At 38.0% G+C, this 26168-nt stretch overlaps 1 protein-coding gene across 22 annotated transcripts in view; it reads left to right on the top strand.

The window, feature by feature from the left end:
- The window catches only part of NEK1 (NIMA related kinase 1), a 219775-nt gene that overhangs the window by 139233 nt on the left and 54374 nt on the right, over positions 1 to 26168 (top strand). For 21 of the 22 annotated variants that reach the window (NR_164630.1, NM_001440625.1, NM_001440624.1 and 18 more), the window contains one exon: positions 9956 to 10108. Coding sequence is in view for 21 of the 22 variants with exons in the window: in NM_001440625.1 (NP_001427554.1) it covers positions 9956 to 10108 (153 nt within the window). In the remaining variant the exon portion in view is untranslated. Of the gene's footprint in view, positions 1 to 9955; positions 10109 to 26168 lie in introns of those variants that run through there. The other variant, XM_047415740.1, reaches the window with a different exon arrangement.

Here is a 26168-nt window from a genome sequence, read left to right as displayed (position 1 = left end):
TTTGGAGTCCCCAGTGTCTATTATTTGCCTCCATGTCCATGTTTACCCATTGTTTAGCTCCCACTTAGAATTCTGTAAGAATATGCAGTTTTTTTTTTTTTTTTCAAGACAGGCTGGAATACAGTGCTGCAGTCATGGCTGACTGTATCTTAAAATTTCTGGGCTCAAATGATCCTCCTGCCTCAGCCTCCAGAGTAGCTGGAACTACAGGCACGTGCTGCCATGCCCGGCTAATTTTTTTTTTTTCTTTTTTGTTAGAGATGGTGGACTCACTATGTTAACCAGGCTGCTTTTGAACTCCTGGCCTCATACAATCCTCCTCCCTCCATCTCCCAAAGTGCTGGGATTACAGGTGTGAGCTACTGTGCCCGGCCAGTATTTGATTTTTTATTTCTGAGTTCTTTTATTTATTATTTTTAAAGAACTAATCACATACTGTAATTATCTTCTTCATTTGTTTAAGTATAATTTGCCTGTGTTCTGTTTTAGAATATAAACATTTTGATAAAGCTTGTCTTATTTGTACTGCATGTTTATGCTCCGTCATGTAGCATGTAATTTATACATGAAAAGTAGTTATTAAATAAATGAATGTGAGGACAAAAACATAAATAATGAGGAGAGACACTGGTGTTGTGAGATCTCTGAGATGGTGGGGCTGGAGATGATTGAGAGCACCTCTGAGGCAATAGACCATTGCCATTGTGAAAGGATGCATGGAGGCAAAGGTAGAAAGATACAAGTAAGTTGGGGGAAAGTGTCAGGATGGCCAAATAAGAACAGCTCTGGTCTGCAGTTCCCAGTGAGACCAATGCAGAAGGCAGGTGATTTCTGCATTTCCAACTAAGGTACCCAGTTCATCTCATTGGGACTGGTTAGACAGTGGGTGCAGCCCACAGAGGGAGAGCAGAAGCAGGGTGGGGCGTTGCCTCACCTGGGAAGCGCAAGGGGTTGAGGAACTCCCTCCTCTAGCCAAGGCAAGCCATGAAGGACTGTGCCGTGAGGGACGGTGCTATCTGACCCACATACTACGCTTTTCCGATGGTTTTCACAACCCACAGACCAAAAGATTCCCTTGGGTGCCTATACAACCAGGGCCCTGGGTATCAAGCATAAAACTGGATGGCCGTTTGGGGAGACACCGAGCTGGCTGCAGGAGTTTTTTGTTTTTTTTTGTTTTTTTTGTTTTTTGTACCTCAGTGGCACCTGGAATGCCAGCAAGACAGAACTGTTCACTCCTCTGGAAAGGGAGCTGAAGCCAGGGACCCGAGTGGTATTGCTCAGCGGATCCCACCCCCACGGAGCCCCACAAGCTAAGATCCACTGGCTTGAAACTCTCGCTGCCTGCACAGCAGTCTGAAGTTGACCTGGGATGCTCAAGCTTGGTGTGGGGAGGGGCATCTGCCATTACTGAGGCTTTGTAAACAAAGCTGACAGAAAGTTTGAACTGGGTGCAGAACCCAACACAGCATGGCAAAGCCGCTGTAGCCAGAATCTAGAGAGGCATCTCTAGATTCCTCCTCTCTGGGCAGGGCATCTCTGAAAGAAAGGTAGCAGCCCCAGTCAGGAGCTTATAGAAAAAACTCCCATGTCCCTGGGACAGAGCACCTGGGGGAAGGGGCAGCTGTGGGCACAGCTTCAACAGACTTAAACTTTCCTGCCTGCTGGCTCTGAAGAGAGGAACAGATCTCTCACCACAGCGCTCAAGATCTGCTAAGGGACAGACTGCCTCTTCCAGTGGATTCTTGACCCCCGTGCCTCCTGACTGGGAGACACCTCCCAGCAGGGGACGACAGACACCTCAAACAGGAGAACTTCAGCTGGCATCTGGCGGGTGCCTCTCTGCGACGAAGCTTCCAGAGGAAGGATCAGGCAGCAATATTTGCTGTTCTGCAGCCTCCACTGGAGATACCCAGGCAAACAGGGTCTGGAATGGAACTTCAGTAAATTCCAGCAGACCTGCAGAAGAGGGGCCTGACTGTTAGAAGGAAAACTAACAACCAGAAAGCAATAGCATCAACATCAACAAAAAGGACACCCAAGCAAAAACCCCATCCAAAGGTCACCAACATCAAAGACCAAAGGTAGATAAATTCACGAAGATGAGGAAAAACCAACGCAAAAAGGCTGAAAATTCCCAAAACCAGAATGCCTCTTCTCCTCCAAAGTATCACAACTCCTTGCCAGTAAGGGAACAAAACTGGACGGAGAATGAGTTTGATGAATTGACAGAAGTAGGCTTCAGAAGGTGGGTAATAACAAACTCTCCAAGCTAAAGGAGTGTGTTTTAACCCAATGCAAGGAAGCTAAGAACCTTGATAAAAAGTTACAGGAACTATCACTAGAATAACCAGTTATGAGAACAACATAAATTACCTGATGGAGCTGAAAAACACAGCAAGAGAACTTTGTGAAGCATACACAAGTATCAATAGCCAAATCAATCAAGTGGAATAAAGGATATCAGGGATTGAAGATCAACCTAATGAAATAAAGAGTGAAGACAAGATTAGAGAAAAAAGAATGAAAAGGAACAAACAACAGACCCTTCGAGAAATATGGGACTATGTGAAAAGACCAAATCTATGTTTGATTGGTGTACCTGAAAGTGACGGGGAGAATGGAACCAAGTTGGAAAACACACTTGAAGGTATTATCCAGGAGAACTTCCCCAACCTAGCAAGGCAGACCAACATTCAAATTCAGGAAATACAGAGAACGCCACAAAGATACTCCTTGCGAAGAGCAACCCCAAGACACATAATCGTCAGATTCCCAAGGTTGAAATGAAGGAAAAAATGTTAAGGGCAGCCAAAGAGAAAGGTTGGATTACCCCCAAAGGGACGCCCATTGAACTAACAGCAGATCTCTCTGCAAAAACCCTACAAGCCAGAATAGAGTGGGGGCCAATATTCAACATTCTTAAAGAAAAGAATTTCAACCCAGAATTTCATATGCAGTCAAACTAAGCTTCATAAGTGAAAAAATCCTTTACAGACAAGCAAATGCTAAGGGATTTTGTTACCACCAGGCCTGCCTTATAAGAGCTCATGAAGGAAGCACTAAACTTGGAAAGGAAAAACCAGTACCAGCCGCTGCAAAAGCATACCAAAATGTAAAGACCATTGACACTATGAAGAAACTGCATCTAACTAATGGGCAGAGTAACCAGCTAGCATCATATGACAGGATCAAATTCACACATATCAATATTAACCTTAAATGTAAATGGGCTAAATGCCCCAATTAAAAGACCCAGACTGGCAAATTGGATAAAGAGTCAAGACTCATCAGTGTGCTGTATTAAGGAGACCCATTTCATATTCAAGGACACACATAGGCTCAAAATAAAGCGATGGAGGAATATTTACCAAGCAAATGAAAAGCAAAAAAAAAAAAAAAAAGCAGGGGTTGCAATCCTAGTCTCTGATAAAACAGACTTTAAAGCAACAAAGATCAAAAAAGACAAAGAATGGCATTACATAATGGTAAAGGGATCAATGCAACGAGAAGCTCTAACTATCCTAAATATATATGCACCCAATACAAGAGCACCCAGATTCATAAAGCAAGTTCTTAGAGACCTACAAGGAGACTTAGACTCCCACATAATAATAGTGGGAGATTTAACACCCCACTGTCAATATTAGACATATCAACAAGACAGAAAATTAACAAGGATATTCAGGACTTGAACTCAGCTCTGCACCAAGCAGACCTAATAGACATCTACAGAACTCTCCACCCCAAATTAACAGAATGTATATTCTTCTCAGCACCACATAGCACTTATTCTAAAATTGACCACATAATTGGAAGTAAAACACTCCTCAGCAAATGCAAAAGAATGGAAATCATAACAAACGGTCTCTCAGACCACAGTGCAATCAAATTAGAACTGAGGATTAAGAAACTCCCTCAAAACCTCACAACTACATGGAAACTGAACAACCTGCTCCTGAATGACTACTGGGTAAATAATGAAATTAAGGCAGAAATAAATAAGTTCTTTGAAACCAATGAGAATAAAGACACACTGTACCAGAATCTCTGGGACACAGCTAAAGCAGTGTTTAGAGGGAAATTTATAGCACTAAATGCCCACAGGAGAAAATGGGAAAGACCTAAAATTGACACCCTAATATCACAATTAAAAGAACTAGAGAAGCAAGAGCAAACAAATTCAAAAGCTAGCAGAAGACAAGAAATAACTAAGATCAGAGCAGAACTGAAAGAAGATAGAGACATGAAAAGCCCTTCAAAAAAAAATCAGTGAATCCAGGAGCTGGTTTTTTGAAAAGATTAACAAAATAGATAGACGGCTAGCCAGACTAATAAAGAAGAAAAGAAGAATCAAATAGACACAATAAAAAATGATAAAGGGGATATCACCACTGATCCCACAGAAATACAGACTACCATCAGAGAATACTATAAACACCTCTATGCAAATAAACTAGTAAATCTAGAAGAAATAGATACATTCCTGGACATATACACCCTCCCAAGACTAAACTAGGAAGAAGTCGAATCCCTGAAAATAGACCAATAACAAGTTCTGAAATTCAGGCAGTAATTAATAGCCTACCAACCAAAAAAAGCCCAGGACCAGACAGATTCACAGCCGAATTCTACCAGAGGTACAGAGGAGCTGGTACCATTCCTTCTGAAACTATTCCAAACAACAGAAAAAGAGGGACTCCTCCCTAACTAATTTTATGAGACCAGCATCATCCTGATAGCAAAACCATCAATTGGTTTGTCATTGTTTCATGCAATTCAGAGTAAATTGCAGACATTGGTATACCTTGCCCTAAGTATTTCACAGCATGTAATTATTTATTAGAGTTCAATGTTTGTTTTTTCATTTATGTTAAATTTACATGCAATGAAATGCACACATTACAAATATATATTTACTGGTTTTTAACAAATGCTGGGAGCTACAAAATAAGAACCCCCATCAAGATACAGAACATTAACATCACCCCAGAAAGTTTGCCCCTGCCTAATCGTTCTCTGTTCTTATCCTCCCAGGGGCAACTTTTTCTGAATTTTTTTTCTACCTTAGATTAAATGTTCCTGTTCTAGAATATCATATAAACAGACTCTAATCGTTTGTATTCTTTTATGTCTGGCTTCTTTCACTCAAGCATAATGATTATTTTTCCCTAATCTCTCACCTCTGGCTGAAAGCATAATGATTTTTGAGATTCATCTGTGTTGTAATTATTAATAGCTTGTTCTTTTTAAAAAAATCTTTGCTTTATTAAAAGTTTTCTTTGTTTGATATTGATATAGTCACTCCTACTTTGTTTTGCTCAGTGTTAACCTGGTATATCTTTATCCTTTTTTTTCCTCTTAATCTGTATGTGTCTTTATATTTAACATGGGTTTCTTATGGGCAGCATATTGTTAAATTCATTTTTAATCCTTTAAAATAACTTTTAACTGGTATGTTTAGATCATTTACATTTAATGTGATTATTAATGTGATTGGATTTAAATCCAGAGCTCCTCAATTTACAATGGGATTGCAGTCTAATAAACCCATTGTAAAGTTGAAAAATCTTTAACTGGTAAAAATCATAACCTTTAACTGGTATGTTTAGATCATTTACATTTAATGTGATTATTAATGTGATTGGATTTAAATCCAGATGCTCCTCAATTTACAATGGGATTACAGTCTAATAAACCCATTGTAAAGTTGAAAAATCTTAAGTTGAACCATCATAAGTCAGGGACTGTCTGTGTACCATTTTTCTATTTGTTTTTTGTTTGCCTCATCTATGCTTTCTTTCCTTTTTCCTCCTGTTTTGCATTATTTGGGGTTATTTTTTATTATTCCATTTTACCTCTGTTGTTGAATTATTAGCTATAGCTCATTGTTATTTCAGTGTTTGCTTCAGAGTTTATAGTGTATTATTGTAGCACAGTGTATTAACTTAGCACAGCCTATCTTCAATTGAGTTATACTTCATATATGGTATAAGATTATTACAATAATATACAGTTGACCCTTGAATAATACGGGGGTTGGGGGTGTTGAATCCCCCGTGTAGTCAAAAATCTGTGTGTAACTCTTAACTCCCCCAAAATTTAACTAGTAATAGCCTACTGTTGACCAGAAGCCTTATCAATAACATAAAGCCAATTAACACATATTTTACATGTTATACGTATTATATACTATATTCTCATAATAGGAATCAAGAGAAAAGAAAATGTTACTAAGAGAATGATAAGAATGAGAAAATATATTTACTATTAAGTGGAAATGGATCATCATAAAAGCCTTCATCCGCATCATCTTCACATTGAGTAGGCTGAAGAGGAGGAAGTTGGGGGGTTGGTCTTGGCGTCTGAGGGGTGGCATAGGTGGAAGAAAATTTGTTTATAAGTGAACCCTGGCATCTCAGAACTTTGTTTGAGGGTCACCTGTACTTACATTTGTTCCCTCCCAACCTTTGGTGCTATTTTTTTTTTATGCTATAAATCCCATAATACAGCAGAGTCATTTATTCTTTAAAAAGATTTAAATAATAAGAGAAAAAACTATTTTGTGTCTACCCATGTAGTTTTCATTTCTTTTGTGTAGAAGATATCTATTTTGTATCATTTTTCTTCTGCCTGAAGGACTTCCTTTAAGATTTTTTGTAGTACAGTCCTGCTGGTGATTCTTTCAACATTTGTATGTCTGTAAAAGTTTTTATTTTAAAGACATACAAATGTTTGTAAAAGTTTTTATTTTTATTTTATTTAGCCTTCCTTTTGCAAAGATATTTTTTCTGAGACATAGAATTCTAAATTGAAATTTTTTTCTTTTAGTACTTTAATGATGCTGCTCCACTGTCATCTTATGCACATTACTTGTGATGAGGTCTTCTGTTACCCTCATTTTTAGTTTTATTCCTCTGTGTCTTTTTTCTCTGACTCCTTTTCAGATTTTTCCCTGTAGCCTTGGTTTCAGTGAATTTGATTGTGATGTGCCTTGATGTCACTTTCGTCATGTTTCTTTTGCTTGGGTTTTGTTGAGCATCTTGGATTTATGAGTTTATAGTTTTCATCAAACTTGAAAAACTCGTGGCCATTATTTATTCTATTTTTTTTTCTGTCTTCAGTATGAATGGACGAGTTCAATGGACAGGTTCATTTATATGAACTTCATTAGGACAAGTTCAGTGTGGATCTTATTAATGTTTTCTTTACCTCTATCACGGTCAGTCTTCTCTCTAGCTTGTTGAACATATGGAATTCAGTTACAATGACAGTTATAAATGTCCTTGTCTACTAGTTACATCATCTCTGTCATTATAGAGTTGGATTGGATTCATTGATTTTTTTCTTCCTTTTTTATAGTTAATATTCTGTTTCTGTGCATGCTTGATAATTTTTTGGGGGTGTCCAAATGTTGTGAATTTTAATATTTGTGCTATGTATTTTTGTATTTCTATAAATATTCTTGACCTTTATTCTTGGACACAATTTAGTTACCTGTGCATAGCTTGGCTCTTTCAAGTCTTGCTTTTAAGCTTTGTTAGTTGGAACAAAGCAGCAATCTATATTATTAGTATTTATTAGTATTACTGTGCATTAGCGTACTGCTAATCTTTTACCTTTTCTGCATCAACAACCTTTCTGAATAATCTGCCTTGTGCCTTGTGAATTATAAATCAGTCTTTTTTGGCTGATGGGAATAGGAACTCTTTCTGGCACTGTGTGAACTCGAAGTATTGTTACCTCTGCTTCTTTTGAGTGGTCTTTTCTCTAAACTTTCTCTAAAATTTCTTTATACATTATGTACTGATATGCTGATCAGTACTCAAGTAAAGACTCAAAGGGGCTTTTTACAATTTTCCTGAGTTCTCTCTCTGTGAAACGTATTACTTCAGTACTCCTATCTTGCAAACACTAGCCACTTTGGCCTCCCTAGACTCCCATTTCCACCTCCTCAGCTCAGAGAGACCATTGACTCCACCTCTGTTTTCCCTCCCTGCATTGAAGGGGTTAAATTCCAGTGGTGGGGGGGACAGGAGGGTTTCTCTTATGAACATTTAGTTATCCCAGTTTTGTTTGTTAGAACTTTTTCCCCTTTTGAATTTCTTTGGCATATTTGTCAAACATCAAATGACTGTAAGTTATGGGTCTATTTCTGGGTTCTCTACTCTATTTTAACCATCCTTTAAGAAATTCCTCTTGGTAATCATTTTGGCTGTATGAAACTAATTATTATCTGCTAATTTGCATGTACTTTCATGGAACTGGTACATTAACTGTATCAATATGTATTAGGTTACCATTGAATGTCTATATACCTTATGCCTCATAATACATAATATTATATCCTGTATGTTACTACTAGGTACCTGTATACTTCATATATTATTACCAAATATTCTAAAGACTCAAACTTCAGTATATAATTTTTATATATTGCTTTGATAAATGTTATTAAAATGGTTTACCCCAAATTATTATTGTCAATAAGGAAGTAGCAGTTATTTGCCTACTTATGATAAATAAAGCAGGACAAATTTTCTTAGAAATACTTTTCTCTGCTTTTTAATCCATATGTATGTTTATTTTAAGATTTGTTTTCTATTTTTTCTGTTTAATATATAGAAATGAAATACTAATTTGTTTCTTCTATTTTTATATTCCCCCCAATTGTATTTACTTATCTTAGTTTTTTCTATTTTTTCACATAAAGATTTTATAGAAACATAATACAGGTTGAGCATTTCTAATCCAAAATCTGAAATCCAAAATGCCCCAAAATCTGAAACTTTTGAGTACCAGTGTGACACCCCCACATCTGACCCCATGTGATGTGTCAAAGTCAAAGTGAAGGTACACAACACATGGTTTATTCAGCATCCCCAAGGACAAAAAGACCCTCCAGCCATTTTAAAAAGCTATCTGATAGAATACCTTCTCATCCCTTCAGATCCCTTTCTGATCCCTCAGCTGCTTCTGATATTTCTTTTTGCCCATAAAATGAAAGACAGCATAGAGTAACCTTTTAATCAAAATCCAGTTTCGTGGGTGGAGACTGAAAGCCTGCGGTTGCTTAACAGCTCTCAGGTATTCTGGTGATAATACTGTGCTGCTTAGTTATCTTAAACACATTTTTTCACTGTAATGGTATGTCTCTCTTTTTTTTTAACTACGAAGTATTTTTGTGTGAACAAGTGTAAGAAAATGATTGCTTATTAGCAGCATATAAACTCACAGTCAGGAATGATGGTGATGCCAAACAACCATAGAGGGCCCACATGGGTGGCCAAGACAGTGACACTATTGCTTTCTGATAGTTCTATGTATATGAACTTCGTTTTGTTCACAAAATTGTTTAAAATATTATATAAAATTACCTCAAGTCTATGTGTATAAGATGGATGTAAAACATAAATGAGGCCCTTTGTGGTGGTTCACACCTATAATCCCAGCACTTTGGGAAGCCAAGGTGGGAGGGTCACTTGAGCCCAGGAGTCCAAGACTAGCCTGGGCAACATAGTGAGACTCTATCTCTTAAAAAACAAACAAATGAATTTCATGTTTAGACTTTGGTCCCATCAACAAGATTCTCGTTATGTATATGCACATATTTCAAAGTCTGAAAAAAATTCAAAATCCAAAACACTTCTGGCCCCAAGCATTTCAGATAAGAGATACTCAGTCTGTATTAATTTATGGTTTTTTCCTATTTTTATATTCCCCAAAACTAGAATTTAATTCATATTCTACAAGGCAATTGTAGATATATTTTTATTGCTAGTTTCATTTGCTTCTGTTCTTGCCATTATTCATCATTCTTTCCCTGAAAGTCTTTGTGATATAACCTTTTTTTCTCATGAACCACTCAATTGGATAAAAGACTCAAAATCTGCCTTACCATGCAGTATTATTATACTGTTATTGAAAATTGTTTCTTTGTATATTTTTCTTATAGGACATACAGTGGGAGAAGTTATTAAATTAGGTCCTAATGGATCTCCAAGAAGAGCCTGGGGGAAAAGTCCGACAGATTCTGTTCTAAAGATACTTGGAGAAGCTGAACTACAACTTCAGACAGAACTATTAGAAAATACAACTATTAGAAGTGGTAAGGAGAAACTGGTAGTTTTTCTATACTAGAAGTAATATTATTAAAAATCTAATTATGTATTTTAAGATGTTTCCATTTTAAGTGAATTATTTTTAATTATCTTTCTCTTATAATAATTTTTTAATTAGATTGAGAATGATTGTGTTTTCTAGGGGGATTGTCCAAATGGTAGTCTTGAGTTTTGACCTGATAGACCTGGATGGGATCTAAAAGGAAAATGAAGTGTGTATGGGTGGAGTTGGAAAAGTCAGAATGATGTTTTACATGAAAACAGATATAGGAGAAATGCACTGAGATGAATTGTGTCTGTTTTGATATGGATTCAAGAATGAGATTGACTAAAAGGTATTTTAGTAGGTATGACAGACATTATTAATTCTAGGACTGGGGAAGGAGAGTTGTCATGAGGCAGGAGGAAATATTCCTGATCCATAAGTTTTGTGGCCTTTGGTATTACAGCTATGCATCAAGAAGAGTGGCTATGTATGAAACAGGTATTTTCAGATTAAACAGCTTGTTTAAATGATGAGGAAGTGGAGTGTACTTTTCCTCTTTTTAGAAGTTGTGTCTAGGCAGGAGTGTGTGTTGCACTTTTGTGTTCTTTTTCCTTCTCTATCTCTCTCACTCTTTTTCTCTGTCTCCCCTTAAAAAGCTTCTAGTGACACTCATATCCAGAGCTGGTGGAAAAATAACCTAGGAGATGACACTGCTGATATGTTCAATAATGGAATTAGCCAGTGAAACGAACCTATACACATGTTACTGAAATGGCAAAAGTAGGCTGCTAATAATTCTGTTATTTTCTTTAATATTAAAGGGAGAAAACAATTTGAATTGAGAAATACAGTCATCTGCAAAAAAGGCAAAAAGTGTATATGTTTGTAATTAATTTGTTCACATTCTCATATAAGGAAATTTTGCAGTTGTATGCCAAATACTAATTAAAAATACTAGTAACTTTTTCAAAATGTTCCAGGCTTTATTCAAGACAAAAATGCCTTCAGGCTCTAACATTTTTTTAAATAATAATAATAATTTTACTCTGCAGTGCAAAACTCTCTGGAAAAAAATGAGAAAAAAATTCAGATTTTTTTTGTAGTCTAAAAGCTCTATAATATGCTGATGCTCATTAACACTATTACTTTTAAAATATTAGATTCTGATTCCTTGATGTCGTTTTATTAATTAAATATATGCAATTTGGTGTACAGTAATACTTAAACCGCATAAAAATTGGGCTTTCATTCTTCGTATTCATCATAATCCATTTGCACAGAATTGGAACTGAGAAATAACTTATGATTTCTCTTCATTCAGTCACCAACTATTTATTGAACACTTCTTAGTTGTGTTCACTATTATATGTTAGATGGTAAGCTATAAAGGAAAAAAAGATCATTCTTGCTCTCAGAGGACAGACAAAAATGAAAACAAATAATAACATTGCGTGAAAAGGACAAGAATAAAAAGTACCCACAAAGTTCAGAATTAATGCAGAGATATTTAGGTAATTAACTTTATCTTGTATAGTCAAGAAAGACATCCCAGACCTGTTATCTCCCCTCTTCTTTTTCTCCCAAATACATTTACTGGGAAGAATATGCTCTGTATTGGGATTTTAAGCCAAAGAAGTGACAGTTTTTACCATCATCGAAATCACATGTGGCAAAATCTGTGTTACAGATGTTTTTTGTGAAATGCTCTGCGGCCACAGCTGAGGTAGCTTTACTTTATCAGTACTATATGCCTTTATTAATGATAACACATATGGCCCTTTTGGGTAAGGGAGAGCCACAAGACAATAAGCAGTTTTGGGACCACAGATGAGGTGGCTTTTCTTTATCAGTACCATACGGTTTTATTAATGACAATATATATGGCCCTTTTAGGTAAGGGAAAGCCACAGAGAATAAGCAATTTTTGGGTGTATCAAAGATTGTTTTTCAAATAACTCATAAGGTAGATAAGGGGGAGAATGAAATTCCAGGCAGTATGCTATTCTAGTATATGCAAAGACAAAGGTTTAGCTCATGTGTATGTGGAGGTAGCTTCATGTGGTAGAAAGAGAATGGGCTTTGGTTCCAATCCTGGCTTTATTACTTGCTCAGCAACAATGGATAAGTTCCTCTGACTTTGGCATTCATTTCCTCCATGTGTAGAATGGAAACACTACTATCAAGGCTTGTTTTGTGTATTAAATGAGAAACATAAAAGATCCTTGGTGTTCTTTATTTTAGTCTTCCAATTCTTATGTCAGTGTCTCCTTAGTCATTCTGATTGCTTGAAACTCTTTTTGTAATAGATTCCTTAGGAAGGACTTGTGTGAACACTACACTCATAGATTTTCCATTTTCATAACAGTTTGTCTTATGACTTTATTTGTGAGGGTCGATTTGGCTGCATGTAAAATCCTTGGCTTACTTTTTTTTCCTTGACTGTCTTTAATATATAGTTTAATTATATTCTGGCATAAAACATTGCTGCAGAAAGTCTGATGGCAGTTTTATTTTCTTTACCTTATAAGTGATTTGGTCTTTTTGCTTGGATGCTCAGAGTATATCTTTCTTTTTACTTAAAGTCCAATCATTTTCTTAAAATATATTTTGGCATTGAGTTTATTTTTCTAGTACAGTACATAGTGGGTTTTTTTTGTTTGTTTAATAGACCTTTTCTTATAGGAGTTTTGGATACATAGTGATATGGTTTGGCTCTGTGTCCCCACCCAAATCTCATCTTATAGCTCCCATGATTCCCACGTGTTATGAGAGGAACCTGGTGGGAGATGCCTGAATTATGGGGGCAGGTCTTTCCCATGATATTCTCGTAATAGTGAATGGATCTCACGAGATCTGATGGTTTTTAAAAAATGAGAGTTTCTCTGCACAAGCTTTTTTTTTTTTTAACCTGCCACCATCCATGTAAGATGTGACTTGCTCCTCCTTGCCTTCTGCCATGATCGTGACGCCTCCCCAGCCATGTGGAACTGTGAGTTCAGTTGTACCGCTTTCTTTTATGAATTTCCCAGCCTCAGGCATGTCCTTATCAGCAGCATGAAAACGGACTAATACACGTAGCAAAATTGAGTGAAAAGTACAGAGTTCCTGTATATGCCCTTCCCCCATACACACACAGCCTCCCCCACCATCAATAGCCCACACCAGAGAGGTACGTTTGTTTTAATCAATAGACCAATGTTGACACATCATTATCACCAAAGTGTATAGTTTACATTAAAATTTACTCTTGGTGCTTTAATTGCCCTGGGTTTTGACAAATGTATAATGCTATGTAACCACTATTATTACACAAGAATTTGCTGCCCCAAGAATCCCCTGTGCTCTGCTTATATTATCCCTCCCTTTCTTCCAAACCCTGGCAACCACTGATTATTTTACTATCTCCATAGTTTTGTCTTTTCCAGAATGTCATGTAATTGGACTCATACAGTATGTACTCTTTTCAGATTGGATGGTTTCACTTAGTAATATACACTTAAGGTTCCTCTGTAATCTTTTTGTGTCTCAATAGCTCATTACTTTTTAGCGCAGAATATTACATTGTATGGATGTGCCACAGTTTATTTATTCACTTTCAAGATGTACTGAAAGACATCGTGATTGCTTCCAAGTGATAGCAATTATGAATAAAGATGATATAAACATCTATGAGCAGGTTTTTGTGTGGACTTAAGTTTTCAATTCATTTGGGTGAATACAGAGGAATACAGTTGCTGGATTGTCTAGTAAGAGTATGTTTAGTTTTGTAAGAAACCACCAGTCTCCCAAAGTGTCTGTACCATTTTGCAGTGTATGAATGAGAGTTCCTTTTACTCCATGTCCTCTCCAGCATTTGGTGTTGTCAGTGTTTTGGATTTTGGTTATTTTAGTTGCTGTGTAGTGGTATCTTGTTGTTGTTTTTATTTGCAATCTCCTAATAACATATGATGTTGAACCTCTTTTCATATGATTCTTACTATATGCTGCTTTGCCACCTGTATACCTTAGTGAGTTGCCTGTTGAGATCTTTCACCCATTTTTAAATTGGGTACTTTATTTTCTTATTGTTGAGTTTAAGAATTCTTAGTATATTTTGGTTAATGGTCCTTTATCAAATATGTCTTTTGCAAATACGGATTGAGTATCTCTTATCTGAAATGCTTGGGATCAGAAGTGTTTTGGATTGGGTTTTTTTTTTCAGATTTTGGACTGTTTGCATTATACCAGTTGAGTATCTCTAATCCGTAAATCCAAAATCTGAAATGCTCCAATGAACATTCCTTTGGGCATTATAACAATGTTCCAAAAGGTTCATATTTTGGAGCATTTTGGATTAGAGATAGTCAACCTGTATTTTCTCCTAGTCTGTGGCTTTTCTTCATGTTCTCTTGACATTGTCTTTTTTTTTTTTTTTTTGAGATGGGGTCTCACTGTGTTGCCCAGGCTGGAGTGCAGTGTTGCAACATGGCTCACTGCAGCCTCAACCTCCCTGGGCCCAGGTGATCCTTCCACCTTAACTTCCTGAATAGCTAGGACAACAGGTATGCACCACCATGCCTGGCTAATTTTTGTATTTTTAGTAGAGAGAGGGTTTGCCCATGTGATCCTCCCACCTCAAACCCCAAGTAGCTGGGACCACCAGTGTGCATCATTGTGCCTGGCTAATTTTTGTATGTTTTGTAGAGATGGTGTTTCTCCGTGTTGCTTAGGCTGGTCTCAAACTTCTGAGGTCAAGTGAACCATCCGCTTCAGCCTCCCAAAGTGCTGGGATTACTGGTGTGAGCCACTGCACCCGGCCTAGTTTTGCATTTTATATTTAGTTATGTGATTTATTTGGAGTAAATATTTTTGAAGAGTTATAAGGTCTGTGTCTAGATACATTTTTTTCGTAAGTAGATGTACAGTGTTTTTTTAGCACCACTTATTGTAAATACTATTCCTTCTTCGATGAATTAACTTTGCTCCTTTGCCAAAGATCAGTTGACTATATCTGTATGGGGCCATTTCTGAACTCTGTATCCATTCCATTCAACTTTTTTCCTGTTCTTTTGCCAGTACCCCAGTATCCTGATTACTGTAGCTTTATAGTATTTCTTGAAGTCACATAGTGTCAGTCCCCCAACTTTGTTCTCCTTCAATTATGTATTGGCTATTCTGGGTCTTTTGTATATCCATATAAACTTTAGAGTTATTATGTCTGTATCCACAAAAGAGCTTGCTGGGTTGGCTGGGATTATGTTAAATCCAAAGATCAAGTTGGAAAAAAACTGACATCTTAATGATATTGAAGCTTCCTGTCCATAAGTTTGAGATATCTCTTTATTGTTCTTTAATTTTTTCATCAGTTTTGTAGTCTTCATCATAGTATATCTTTTTAATATGTAGCTTCCGGTCTTTTTTTCCCCTGTCAGTTTTAGGAGTCTTTTTTTATCCTCTCAATTTTAGGACAGTACTCTTGAATTATTGCCTGTCTTCTTCCCTCCCCTCCCCTCCCCTCCTCTCCTTTCTCCTCCTCTTCCCTCCCTCTCCCCTCCTTCTCCCCTCCCCCCTTCTTTCTCTCCTTCCTTCCTTCCTTCCTTCTCTCCCCCTGCCCCGCACTTTCTCTCTTTCTCCCTTTCTCCTTTTCTCCTTTTCTCCCTTTCTTTCTTTTTTCTAACAGCAATGGAGTCTTGCTATGTTTCCCAGGCTGGTCTTGAACTCATGGCCTCAAGTGATCCGCCTGCCTCAGCCTCCAAAGGGCTGGGATTATAGGCATGTGCCACCATACCGGGCATCTAGTATTCTGTTTTTTTTTCTCCAGTCTTTGGGAATTTCCACTTTGTATATTTTGGGTCATCTTTGCCTTTCCTCTCAGTCAATTGCTCTTTTTTCTTAATGTCTTATTAACTATTGTGGGTACATAGTAGGTGTATATATTTATTGGGTACATGAGGTATTTTGATACAGATATGCAATGCATAGTAATCACATGAGGGTAAATGGGTCACATAAAGCATTTATCCTTTCTTTGTATTACAAACAGTCCAATTCTACTATTTTAGTTATTTTTAAATGCACAATATATTATTCTTGACTTAACTCTAGTCACCTAGTTGTGCTATCAAATACTGGATCATATACATTCTGTCTAACTGTATTTTTGTACTCATTAACCATCCCCCACCACCCACCACCACCACCCTTCCTAGCCTCTAGTAACTACCATTCTGCTCTCTTTATCACCATGAGTTCAGTTATTTTAATTGTTAACTCCCACAAATAAGTGAGAACATGTGAGATTTGTCTTTCTGTGCCTGTCTTATATCACTTAATATAATGACCTCCAGTTCCATACATGAAACTGACAGGATCTCATTCTTTTTTTGTGGCTGAATAGTACTCCATTGTGTATATGTCCCACATTTTCTTTATCCATTCAACTGTTGATGGACATTTAGGTTGCTTCTAAATCTTCGCTGTTGTAAATAGTGCTGCAATAAACATGGAACTGCAGATATCTGTTTGATATACTGATTTCCTTTCTTTTGGATATATACCCAGCAGTGGGATTGCTGGATCATATGGTAGCTATATTTTTAGTTTCTGGAGGAACCTCCAAACAGTTATATATGTCTAGAAATTTATCCATTTCTTCTAAGTTTTCCAATCTATTGAAATACAGCTGCTCATAGTAGCTTCTAAAGATCCTTTTAATTTCTGCAGTATCAGTTGTATTATAATTCCTCCTTTTTCATCTCTGATTTTGTTTGCTTGGGTCTTCTCTCTTTTTCTTAGTCTGGATAAAGGTTTGTTGATTTTGTTCATCTTTTCAAAAAGCCAACTTTTGATTTCATTTATCTTTTGTATTCTTTGTTTCTATTTTATTTATTTCTGCACTCATCTTTATTATTTCTTTTCTTCTACTACTTTTGGGCTTACTTTGCTCTTGCTTTTGTAGTTCTTTAAGATGGATCATTAGATTGTCTACTTGAAGTTTTTCCTCTTTTTTGGTGTAGGGACCGATAGCTATAAACTTCCGTCTTAGTACTGCTTTTGCTGTATCCCAGAGGTATTGGTATATTGTGTTTCCATTATCATTTGTTTCAAAATTTTTTTCAATTTCCTTCTTAATTTCTTCATTGACCCACTGTTTATTCAGAAGCATATTGTTTAATTTCCATGTGTTTGTATAGTTTCCAAAAATTCCTCTTGTTATTGATGTCTAGTTTTCTTCCATTGTGGTCAGAGAAGAAACTTGGTATAATTTCAGGTTTTTTGAATGTTTTAAGACTTGTTTTGTGATCTAACATATGTTCTATCCTTGAGAATGATTCATGTACTGAGGAGAAGAAGCCGTATTCTGCAGCTGTTAGATGAAATGTTCTGTAGATATCGATTAGGTCCATTTGGTCTACAATACAGATGAAGTCTGATGTTTCTTTTCTTTTTTTTATTTTTCTTTTGCTGCTCCTTGCAGAGCTGTGATGACCCCTAGGCAGTGCTACTAGACTAGAGTCAGCTAAGTCTGATGTTTCTATGTCGATTTTCTGCCTGGATGATCTGTTCAATGCTGAGAGTATAGTGTTAAAGTCTCCAGGTATTATTGTATTGGGGGCTATCTCTCACTTTGACTCTAATAATATTTCCTGTACATATATGGGTACTCCAGTATTGGATGCATATATATTTATAACTGTTATATCCTCTTGCTGAATTGACCATTTTATAATTATATAATGACGTTATTTGTATCTTTTTATAGTTCTTGTCTTGAAATCTATTTTGTCTCATGTAAGTATAGTTACTTCTGCCCTTTTTTGGTTTCTATTGGCATAGAATATCTTTATTCATCCCTTTATTTTTGGTCTGTGTGTGTCTTTATAGGTGAAGTCTGTTTCTTGTAGGCAACTGTTCATTGAGTCTTCTTTTTTTTTTTTGATTATGCTTCAAGTTCTAGGGTACATGTGCACAACGTGCAGGTTTGATACATAGGTATACATGTGCCATGTTGGTTTGCTGCACCAATCAACTCATCATTTACATTAGGTATTTCTTGTAATGCTATCCCTCTGCCAGGCCCCAACCCCCCAACATGCCCCAGTGTGTGATGTTCCCTGCCCTGTGTCAAAGTAATCTCATTGTTCAGTTCCCACCTATGAGTGAGAACATGTGGTGTTTGGTTTTCTGTCCTTGTGATAGTTTGCTGAGAATGATGGTTTCCAGCTTCATCCATGTCCCTGCAAAGGACATGAACTCATCCTTTCTTATGGCTGCGTAGTATTCCATGGTGTATATGTGCCACATTTTCTTAATCCAGTCTATCATTGATGGCATTTGGGTTGGTTCCAAGTCTTTGCTGTTGTGAATAGTGCCACCATAAACATACATGTGCATGTGTCTTAAAGGAGCATGATTTATAATCCTTTGGGTGTATACCCAGTAATGGGATTTCTGGGTCAAATGGTAATTATAGTTCTAGATCCTTGAGGAATTGCCACACTGTCTTCCACAATGGTTGAACCAATTTACACTCCCACCAACAGTGTAAAAGCGTTCCTATTTCTCCACATCCTCTCCAGCACCTGTTGTTTCTTCACTTTTTAATGATTGCCATTCTAACTGGTGTGAAATGGTATCTCATTGTGGCTTTGATTTGCATTTCTCTAATGATCAGTGATGATGAGCATTTTTTCATATGTTTGTTGGCCACATAAATGTCTTCTTTTGAGAAGTTTCTGTTCATATCCTTTTCCCCACCTTTTGATGGGGTTGTTTTTTTCTTGTAACTTTGCTTAAGTTCTTTGTAGATTCTGGATATTAGCCCTTTGTCAGATGGGTAGATTGCAGAAGTTTTCTCCCATTCTGTAGGTTGACTGTTGACTATGATGGTAGTTTCTTTTGCCATGCAGAAGCTCTTTAGTTTAATTAGATCCCATTTGTCTATTCTGGCTTTTGTTGCCATTGCTTTTGGTGTTTTAGTCATGAAGTCCTTGCCCATGCCTATGTCCTGAATGGTATTGCCTAGGGTTTTCTTCTAGGGTTTCTATGGTTTTAGGTCTAACATTTAAGTCTTTAATCCATCTTGAATTAATTTTTGTATAAGGTGTAAGGAAGGGATCCAGTTTTAGCTTTCTATATATGGCTAGCCAGTTTTCCCAGCACCATTTATTAAATAGGGAATCCTTTCCCCATTTCTCGTTTTTGTCAGGTTTGTTAAAGATCAGATGGTTGTAGATGTGTGGCATTATTTCTGAAGCCTCTGTTCTGTTCTATTGGTCTATGTATCTGTTTTGGTACCAGTACCATGCTGTTTTGGTTACTGTAGCCTTTTAGTGCTGAGACCATCTTGGTCAGGGAGACCCTAACCCAGCCGCACTAGAGGAATTAAAGACACACACAGGAATATAGAGGTGTGAAGTGGGAAATCAGGGGTCTCACAGCTTTCAGAGCTGAGAGCCCCGAACAGAGATTTACCTACGTATTTATTAACAGTAAGCCAGTCATTAGCATTGTTTCTATAGATATTAAATTAACTAAAAATATCCCTTATGGGAAATGAAGGAATGGGCCGAATTAAAGGAATAGGTTGGGCTAGTTAACTGCAGCAGGAGCATGTCCTTAAAGCACAGATCGCTCATGCTATTGTTTGTGGCTTAAGAATGCCTTTGAACAGTTTTCTGCCCTGGGCGGGCCAGGTGTTCCTTGCCCTCATTCCAGTAAACCCACAACCTTCCAGCATGGGCGTTATGGCCATCATGAACATGTCACAGTGCTGCAGAGATTTTGATTATAGCCAGTTTTGGGGCCAGTTTATGGCCAGATTTTGGGGGGCTTGTACCCAACATTGTAGTATAGTTTGAAGTCAGGTAGCATGATGCCTCCAGGTTTGTTCTTTTGGCTTAGGATTGTCTTGGCAATGTGGGCTCTTTTTTGGTTCCATATGAACTTTAAAGTAGTTTTTTCCAATTCTGTGAAGAAAGTCATTGGTAGCTTGATGGGAATGGCATTGAATCTATAAATTACTTTGGGCAGTGTGTCCATTTTCACGATATTGATTCTTCCTATCCATGAGCATGGAATATTCTTCCATTTGTTTGTGTCCTCTTTTATTTCGTTGAGCAGTGGTTTGTAGTTCTTCTTGAAGATGTCCTTCACATCCCTTGTAAGTTGAATTCCTAGGTATTTTATTCTCTTTGTAGCTATTGTGAATGGGAGTTCACTCATGATTTGGCTCTGTGTGTGTCTGTTAATGGTGTATAGGAATGCTTGTGATTTTTGCACATTGATTTTGTATCCTGAGACTTTGCTGAAGTTGCTTATCAGCTTAAGGAAATTTGGGGCTGAGACGATAGGGTTTTAAATATACAATCATGTCATCTGCAAACAGGGACAATTTGACTTCCTCTTTTCCTAACTGAATACTCTTTATTTCTTTCTCTTGCCTCATTGCCCTGGCCAGAACTTCCAACACTATGTTGAATAGGAGTGGTGAGAGAGGGCATCCTTGTCTTGTGCCAGTTTTCAAAGGGAATGCTTCCAGTTTTTGCCCATTCAGTATGATACTGGCTGTGGGTTTGTCATAAATAGTTCTTATTATTTTGAGATATGTTCTGTCAATACCTAGTGTATTGAGAGTTTTTAGCATGAAGGGCTGTTGAATTTTGTTGAAGGCCTTCTCTGCATCTATTGAGATAATCATGTGGTTTTTGTTGTTGGTTCTGTTTATGTGATGGATTACGTTTATTGATTTGTGTACGTTGAACCAGACTTGCATCCCAGGGATGAAGCCAACTTGATCATGGTGGATAAGCTTTTTGATATGCTGCTGGATTCAGTTTGCCAGTATTTTACTGAGGATTTTCGCATCGACGTTCATCAGGGATATTGGTCTAAAATTATCTGGTTGTGTCTCTGCCAGTCTTTGGTATCAGGATGATGTTGGCCTCATAAAATGCGTTAGGGAGGATTCCCTCTTTTTCTATTGATTGGAATAGTTTCAGAAGGAATGGTACCAGCTCCTCTTTGTACCTCTGGTAGAATTCAGCTGTGAATCCATCTGGTCCTGGACTTCTTTTGGTTGGTAAGCTATTAATTATTGCCTCAATTTCAGAGCCTGTTATTGGTCTATTCAGGGATTCAACTTCTTCCTGGTTTAGTCTTGGGAGAGTATATTGTTAAAGTCTCCAGGTAGTAATTATGTAAGTACGTGTCCAGGAATGTATGCATTTCTTCTGTATTTTCTAGTTTATCTGCATAGAGGTGTTTATAGTATTCTCTGAAGGTAGTTTGTATTTCTGTGGGATTGGTGGTGATATCCCCTTTATCATTTTTTATGGCATCTATTTGATTCTTCTGTCTTTTCTTCTTTATTAGTCTTGCTAGTGGTCTATCAATTTTGTTGATCTTTTCAAAAAACCATCTCCTGGATTCATTGATTTTTTGAAGGGTTTTTGTGTCTATCTCCTTCAGTTCTGCTCTGATCTTAGTTATTTCTCACCTTCTGCTAGCTTTTGAATTTGTTTGCTCTTGCTTCTCTAGTTCTTTTAATTGTGATGTTAGGGTGTCAATTTTAGATCTTTCCTGCTTTCTCTTGTGGGCATTTAGTGCTATAAATTTCCCTCTACACACTGCTTTAAATGTGTCCCAGGGATTCTGGTATGTTGTGTCTTTGTTCTCATTGGTTTCAAAGAACATCTTTATTTCTGCCTTCATTTTTTTATTTACCCAGTAGTCATTCAGGAGCAAGTTGTTCAGTTTCTATGTAGTTGTGCGGTTTTGAGTGAGTTTCTTAATCCTGAGTTCTAATTTGATTGCACTGTGGTCTGAGAGACAGTTTGTTGTGATTTCTGTTATTTTACATTTGCTGAGGAGTGCTTTACTTCCAATTATGTGGTCAATTTTAGAATAAGGGCTATGTGGTGCTGAGAAGAATGTATATTCTGTTGATTTGGGGTGGAGAGTTCTGTAGATGTCTATTAGGTCTGCTTATTGCAGAGCTGAGTTCAGGTCCTGGATATCCTTGTTAACCTTTTTTCTCGTTGATCTGTCTAATATTGACAGTTGGGTGTTAAAGTCTCCCATTATTATTGTGTGGGAGTCTAAGTCTCTTTGTAGGTATCTAAGAACTTGCTTTATGAATCTGGGTCCTCCTGTATTGGGTGCATATATATTTAAGATAGTTAGCTCTTCTTGTTGCATTGATCCCTTTACCATTATGTAATGGCCTTCTTTGTCTCTTTTGATCTTTGTTGCTTTAAAGTCTGTTTTATCAGAGACTAGGATGGCAACCCCCGCTTTTTTTTGCTTTCCATTTGCTTGGTAGATCTTCCTCCATTCCTTTATTTTGAGCCTATGTGCATCTTTGCACGTGAGATGGGTCTCCTAAATACAGCACACCAATTTGCCAGTCTGTGTCTTTTAATTGGGGCATTTAGCCCATTTATATTTAAGGTTAATATTGTTATGTGTGAATTTGATCCTGTCATTATGATGTTCACTGTTTATTTTGCCCATTAATTGATGCAGTTTCTTCATAGCATCAGTGGTCTTTATAATTTGGCCTGTTTTTGCAGTGGCTGGTACCAGTTTTTCCTTTCCATGTTTAGTGCTTCCTTCAGGAGCTCTTGTAATCCCTCAGCATTTTCTTGTCTGTAAAGGATTTTATTTCTGCTTCACTTATGAAACTTAGTTTGGCTGGATATCAAATTCTGGGTTGAAAATTCTTTCCTTGAAGAATGTTGAATAATGGCCCCCACTGTCTTCTGGCTTGTAGGATTTCTGCCGAGAGATCTGCTGTTAGTCTGATGGGCTTCCCTTTGTGGGTAACTCGACCTTTCTCTCTGGCTGCCCTTAATACTTTTTCCTTCATTTCAACCTTGGTGAATCTGACAATTATGTGTCTTGGGGTTGCTCTTCTAGAGGAGTATCTTTGTGGTGTTCTCTGTATTTCCTGAATTTGAATGTTGGCCTGCCTTGCCAGGTTGGGGAAGTTCTCCTGGATAATATCCTGGAGAGTGTTTTCCAACTTGGTTCCATTCTCCCCATCACTTTCAGGTACACCAATCAGACGTAGATTTGGTCTTTTCACATAGTGTCATATTTCTTGGAGGCCTTGTTCGTTTCTTTTTACTCTTTTTTCTCTAAACTTCTCTTCTCGCTTTATTTCATTCATTTGATCTTCAATCACTGATACCCTTTCTTCCACTTGATCGAATCAGCTATTTAAGCTCATGCATGTGTCACGAAGTTCTCATGCCATGGTTTTCAGCTCCATCAGGTCATTGAAGTTCTTCTCTACACTGTTTATTATAGTTAGCCATTCTTCTAATCTTTCTTCAAGGTTTTTAGCTTCCTTGCTATGAGTTCAAACATCCTCCTTCAGCTAGGAGAAGTTTGTTATTACCGACCTTCTGAAGCCTACTTCTGTCAACTTGTCAAAGTCATTCTCTGTCCAGCTTTGTTCTGTTGCTGGCAAGGAGCTGTGATTCTTTGGAGGAGAGGAGGTGCTCTGATTTTTAGAATATTCAGCTTTTCTGCTTTGGTTTCTCCCCATCTTTGTGGTTTTATCTACCTTTAGTCTTTGATGTTGGTGACCTCCAGGTGGGGTTTTGGTGTAGATTACCTTTTTGTTGATGTTGATGCTATTCCTTACTGTTAGTTTTCCTTTAATAGTCAGGTCCCTCAGCTGCAGATCTGTTAGAGTTTGCTGGAGTTCCACTCCAGACCCTGTTTGCCTGGGTACCACCAGTGGAGGCTGCAGAACAGCAAATATTGAAGAACAGCAAATATTGCTGCCTGATCCTTCCTCTGGAAGCTTTGTCCCAGAGTGGCAGCCACCTATATGAGGTGTCAGTCAGCCCCTACTGGGAGATGTCTCCCAGTTAGGCTGCGTGGGGGTCAGGGACCCAGTTGAGGAGGCAGTCTATCTTTTCTCAGAGCTCAAGCACCATGCTGGGAGAACCACTGCTCTCTTCAGAGCTGTTAGACAGGGTCGTTTAAGTCTGCAGAAATTGTCTGCTGCCTTTTGTTCAGCTATGCCCTGCCCACAGAGGTGGAGACTACTGAGGCGGTAGGCCTTGTTGAGCTGCGGTGGGCTCCGCCCATTTTGAACTTCTGGGCAGCTTTGTTTACCTACTCAAGCCTCAGCAATGGCGGATGCCCCTCCCCGAGTCAGGCTGCTGCCTGGCAGATCCATCTCAGACTGCTGGGCTAGCAGTGAGCAAGGCTCTGTGGGCGTGGGACCTGCCGAGCCAGGCACAGGAGAGAATCACCTAGTCTGCCGGTTGCTAAGACCTTGGGAAAAGCACAGTATTTGGGTGGGGAGTGTCCCGTGTTTCCAGGTAGTCTGTCACGGCTTCCCTTGGCTAGGAAAGGGAAATCCCCCGACTCATTGCGCTTCCCAGGTGAGGTGATGCCCCACCCTGCTTCGGCTCACCCTCCGTGGGCTGCACCCACTGTCCAACCAGTCCCATTGAGATGAACCAGGTACCTCAGTTGGAAATGCAGAAATCACCCATCTTCTCCATCAAGCACGCTGGAAGCTGTAGACTGGAGCTGTTCCTATTCCGCCATCTTGGAACTCCTGTTGAGTCTTCTTTTTTAATCTATTCAGCCACTCTCTGTCTTTTGATTGGAGAGTTTATTCCATTTACATTCAATGGGATTATTACAAGTAAAGACTTAATTCTGCCATTTTGTTATTTGTTTTCTGGTTGTTTTGTGGACTTCTCTTCCTTCCTTCCTTCATATCTTCATTTTAGAGAAGGTGATTTCTTTAGTGGTATGTTTTAATTTCTTGCTTTTTATTTTTTTGCGTATCTGTTGTATGATTTTTTATTTTTGAGGGTACTATGAGGTATAAATACTATCTTATAACCCACTATTTTAAACTGATGACAACAGTGATTGCAAAAACAGATACCAAACAAGCAAATAAAAAACTAATAAAGACTCTAACTTTGTCCCTCACTTTTCAACTTTTTGTTTCTATTTGTATCTTACTGTATTGTCTCTCAAAAAGTTGTAATTTTTTTTTTCTTGAGACAGGGACTCACTCTGTCACCCAGGCTGGAGGGCAGTGGCACAATCTCAGCTTACTACAACTTCCACCTTCTGGCTCAGGTGATCTCACATCAGCCTCCCAAGCAGCTGGGACTACAAGCATGTCCCACTGCTTGTAGCCACCACACATGGCTAAATTTTTTTGTATTTTTTTTTTGTAGAGAAAGGGTTTTGCCTGTTGCCCAGGCTGGTTTCATGTTGCATGTTGCCCAGGCTGGTTTCAAATTCCTGGGTTCCAGCAATCCTCCCACCTCAGCCTTCCAAAGTTCTAGGATTACAGGCATAAGCCATCACACCTCACATAATGTTTATTTATTTTATTTCATTTTATTTTTTGAGACAGAGTCTCACTCCGTTGCCCGGGCTGGAGTGCAGTGGCACGATCTCGGCTCACTGCAGCCTCCACCTCCCGGGTTCAAGTGATTCTCCTGCCTCAGCCTCCCGACTAGTCTGGATCACAGGTGTGTGCCACCACACCTGGCTAATTTTTTTGTATTTTTAATAGAGATGGGATTTTAGCATGTTGGCCAGGCTGGTCTCAAACTTCTCACCTCAAGTGATCCACCCGCCTTCACCTCCCAAAATGCTGGGATTACAGGCGTGAATAATTTTTATTTTCAATCAGTTCATCTTTTAGTCTTTCTACTCAAGATATGAGTAGCTTACACACCACAATTACAGTGTTCTAATATTCTGTGTTTTTCTGTATACTTACTATTACTGGTGAATTTTACACCTTCAGATGATTTCTTATTACTCATTATTGTCCTATTCTTTCATATTAAAGAACTCCTTTTAGCATTTCTTATGGGACAGGTCTTGTGTTGATGAAATCCCTCAGCTTTTGTTTGTCTGGTAGTCTTTATTTCTTCATTATGTTTGAAGGATATTTTCTCTGGATATACTATTTTAGGATAAAAGTTTTTTTCCTTCAGTACTTTAAATATGTCCTGTCACTCTCTCCTGGCCAGTAAGATTTTTGCTGAAAAGTCTGCTGCCAGACACAAAGTCTGCTGCTGCTT

Source organism: Homo sapiens, chromosome 4 (genome assembly GCF_000001405.40).
Source record: "Homo sapiens chromosome 4, GRCh38.p14 Primary Assembly".
NCBI classification, from domain to species: Eukaryota; Metazoa; Chordata; class Mammalia; order Primates; family Hominidae; genus Homo; species Homo sapiens.
The sequence above is the reverse complement of the archived record's forward strand: the minus strand, read 5'-3'. Positions and strand labels throughout refer to the sequence as shown.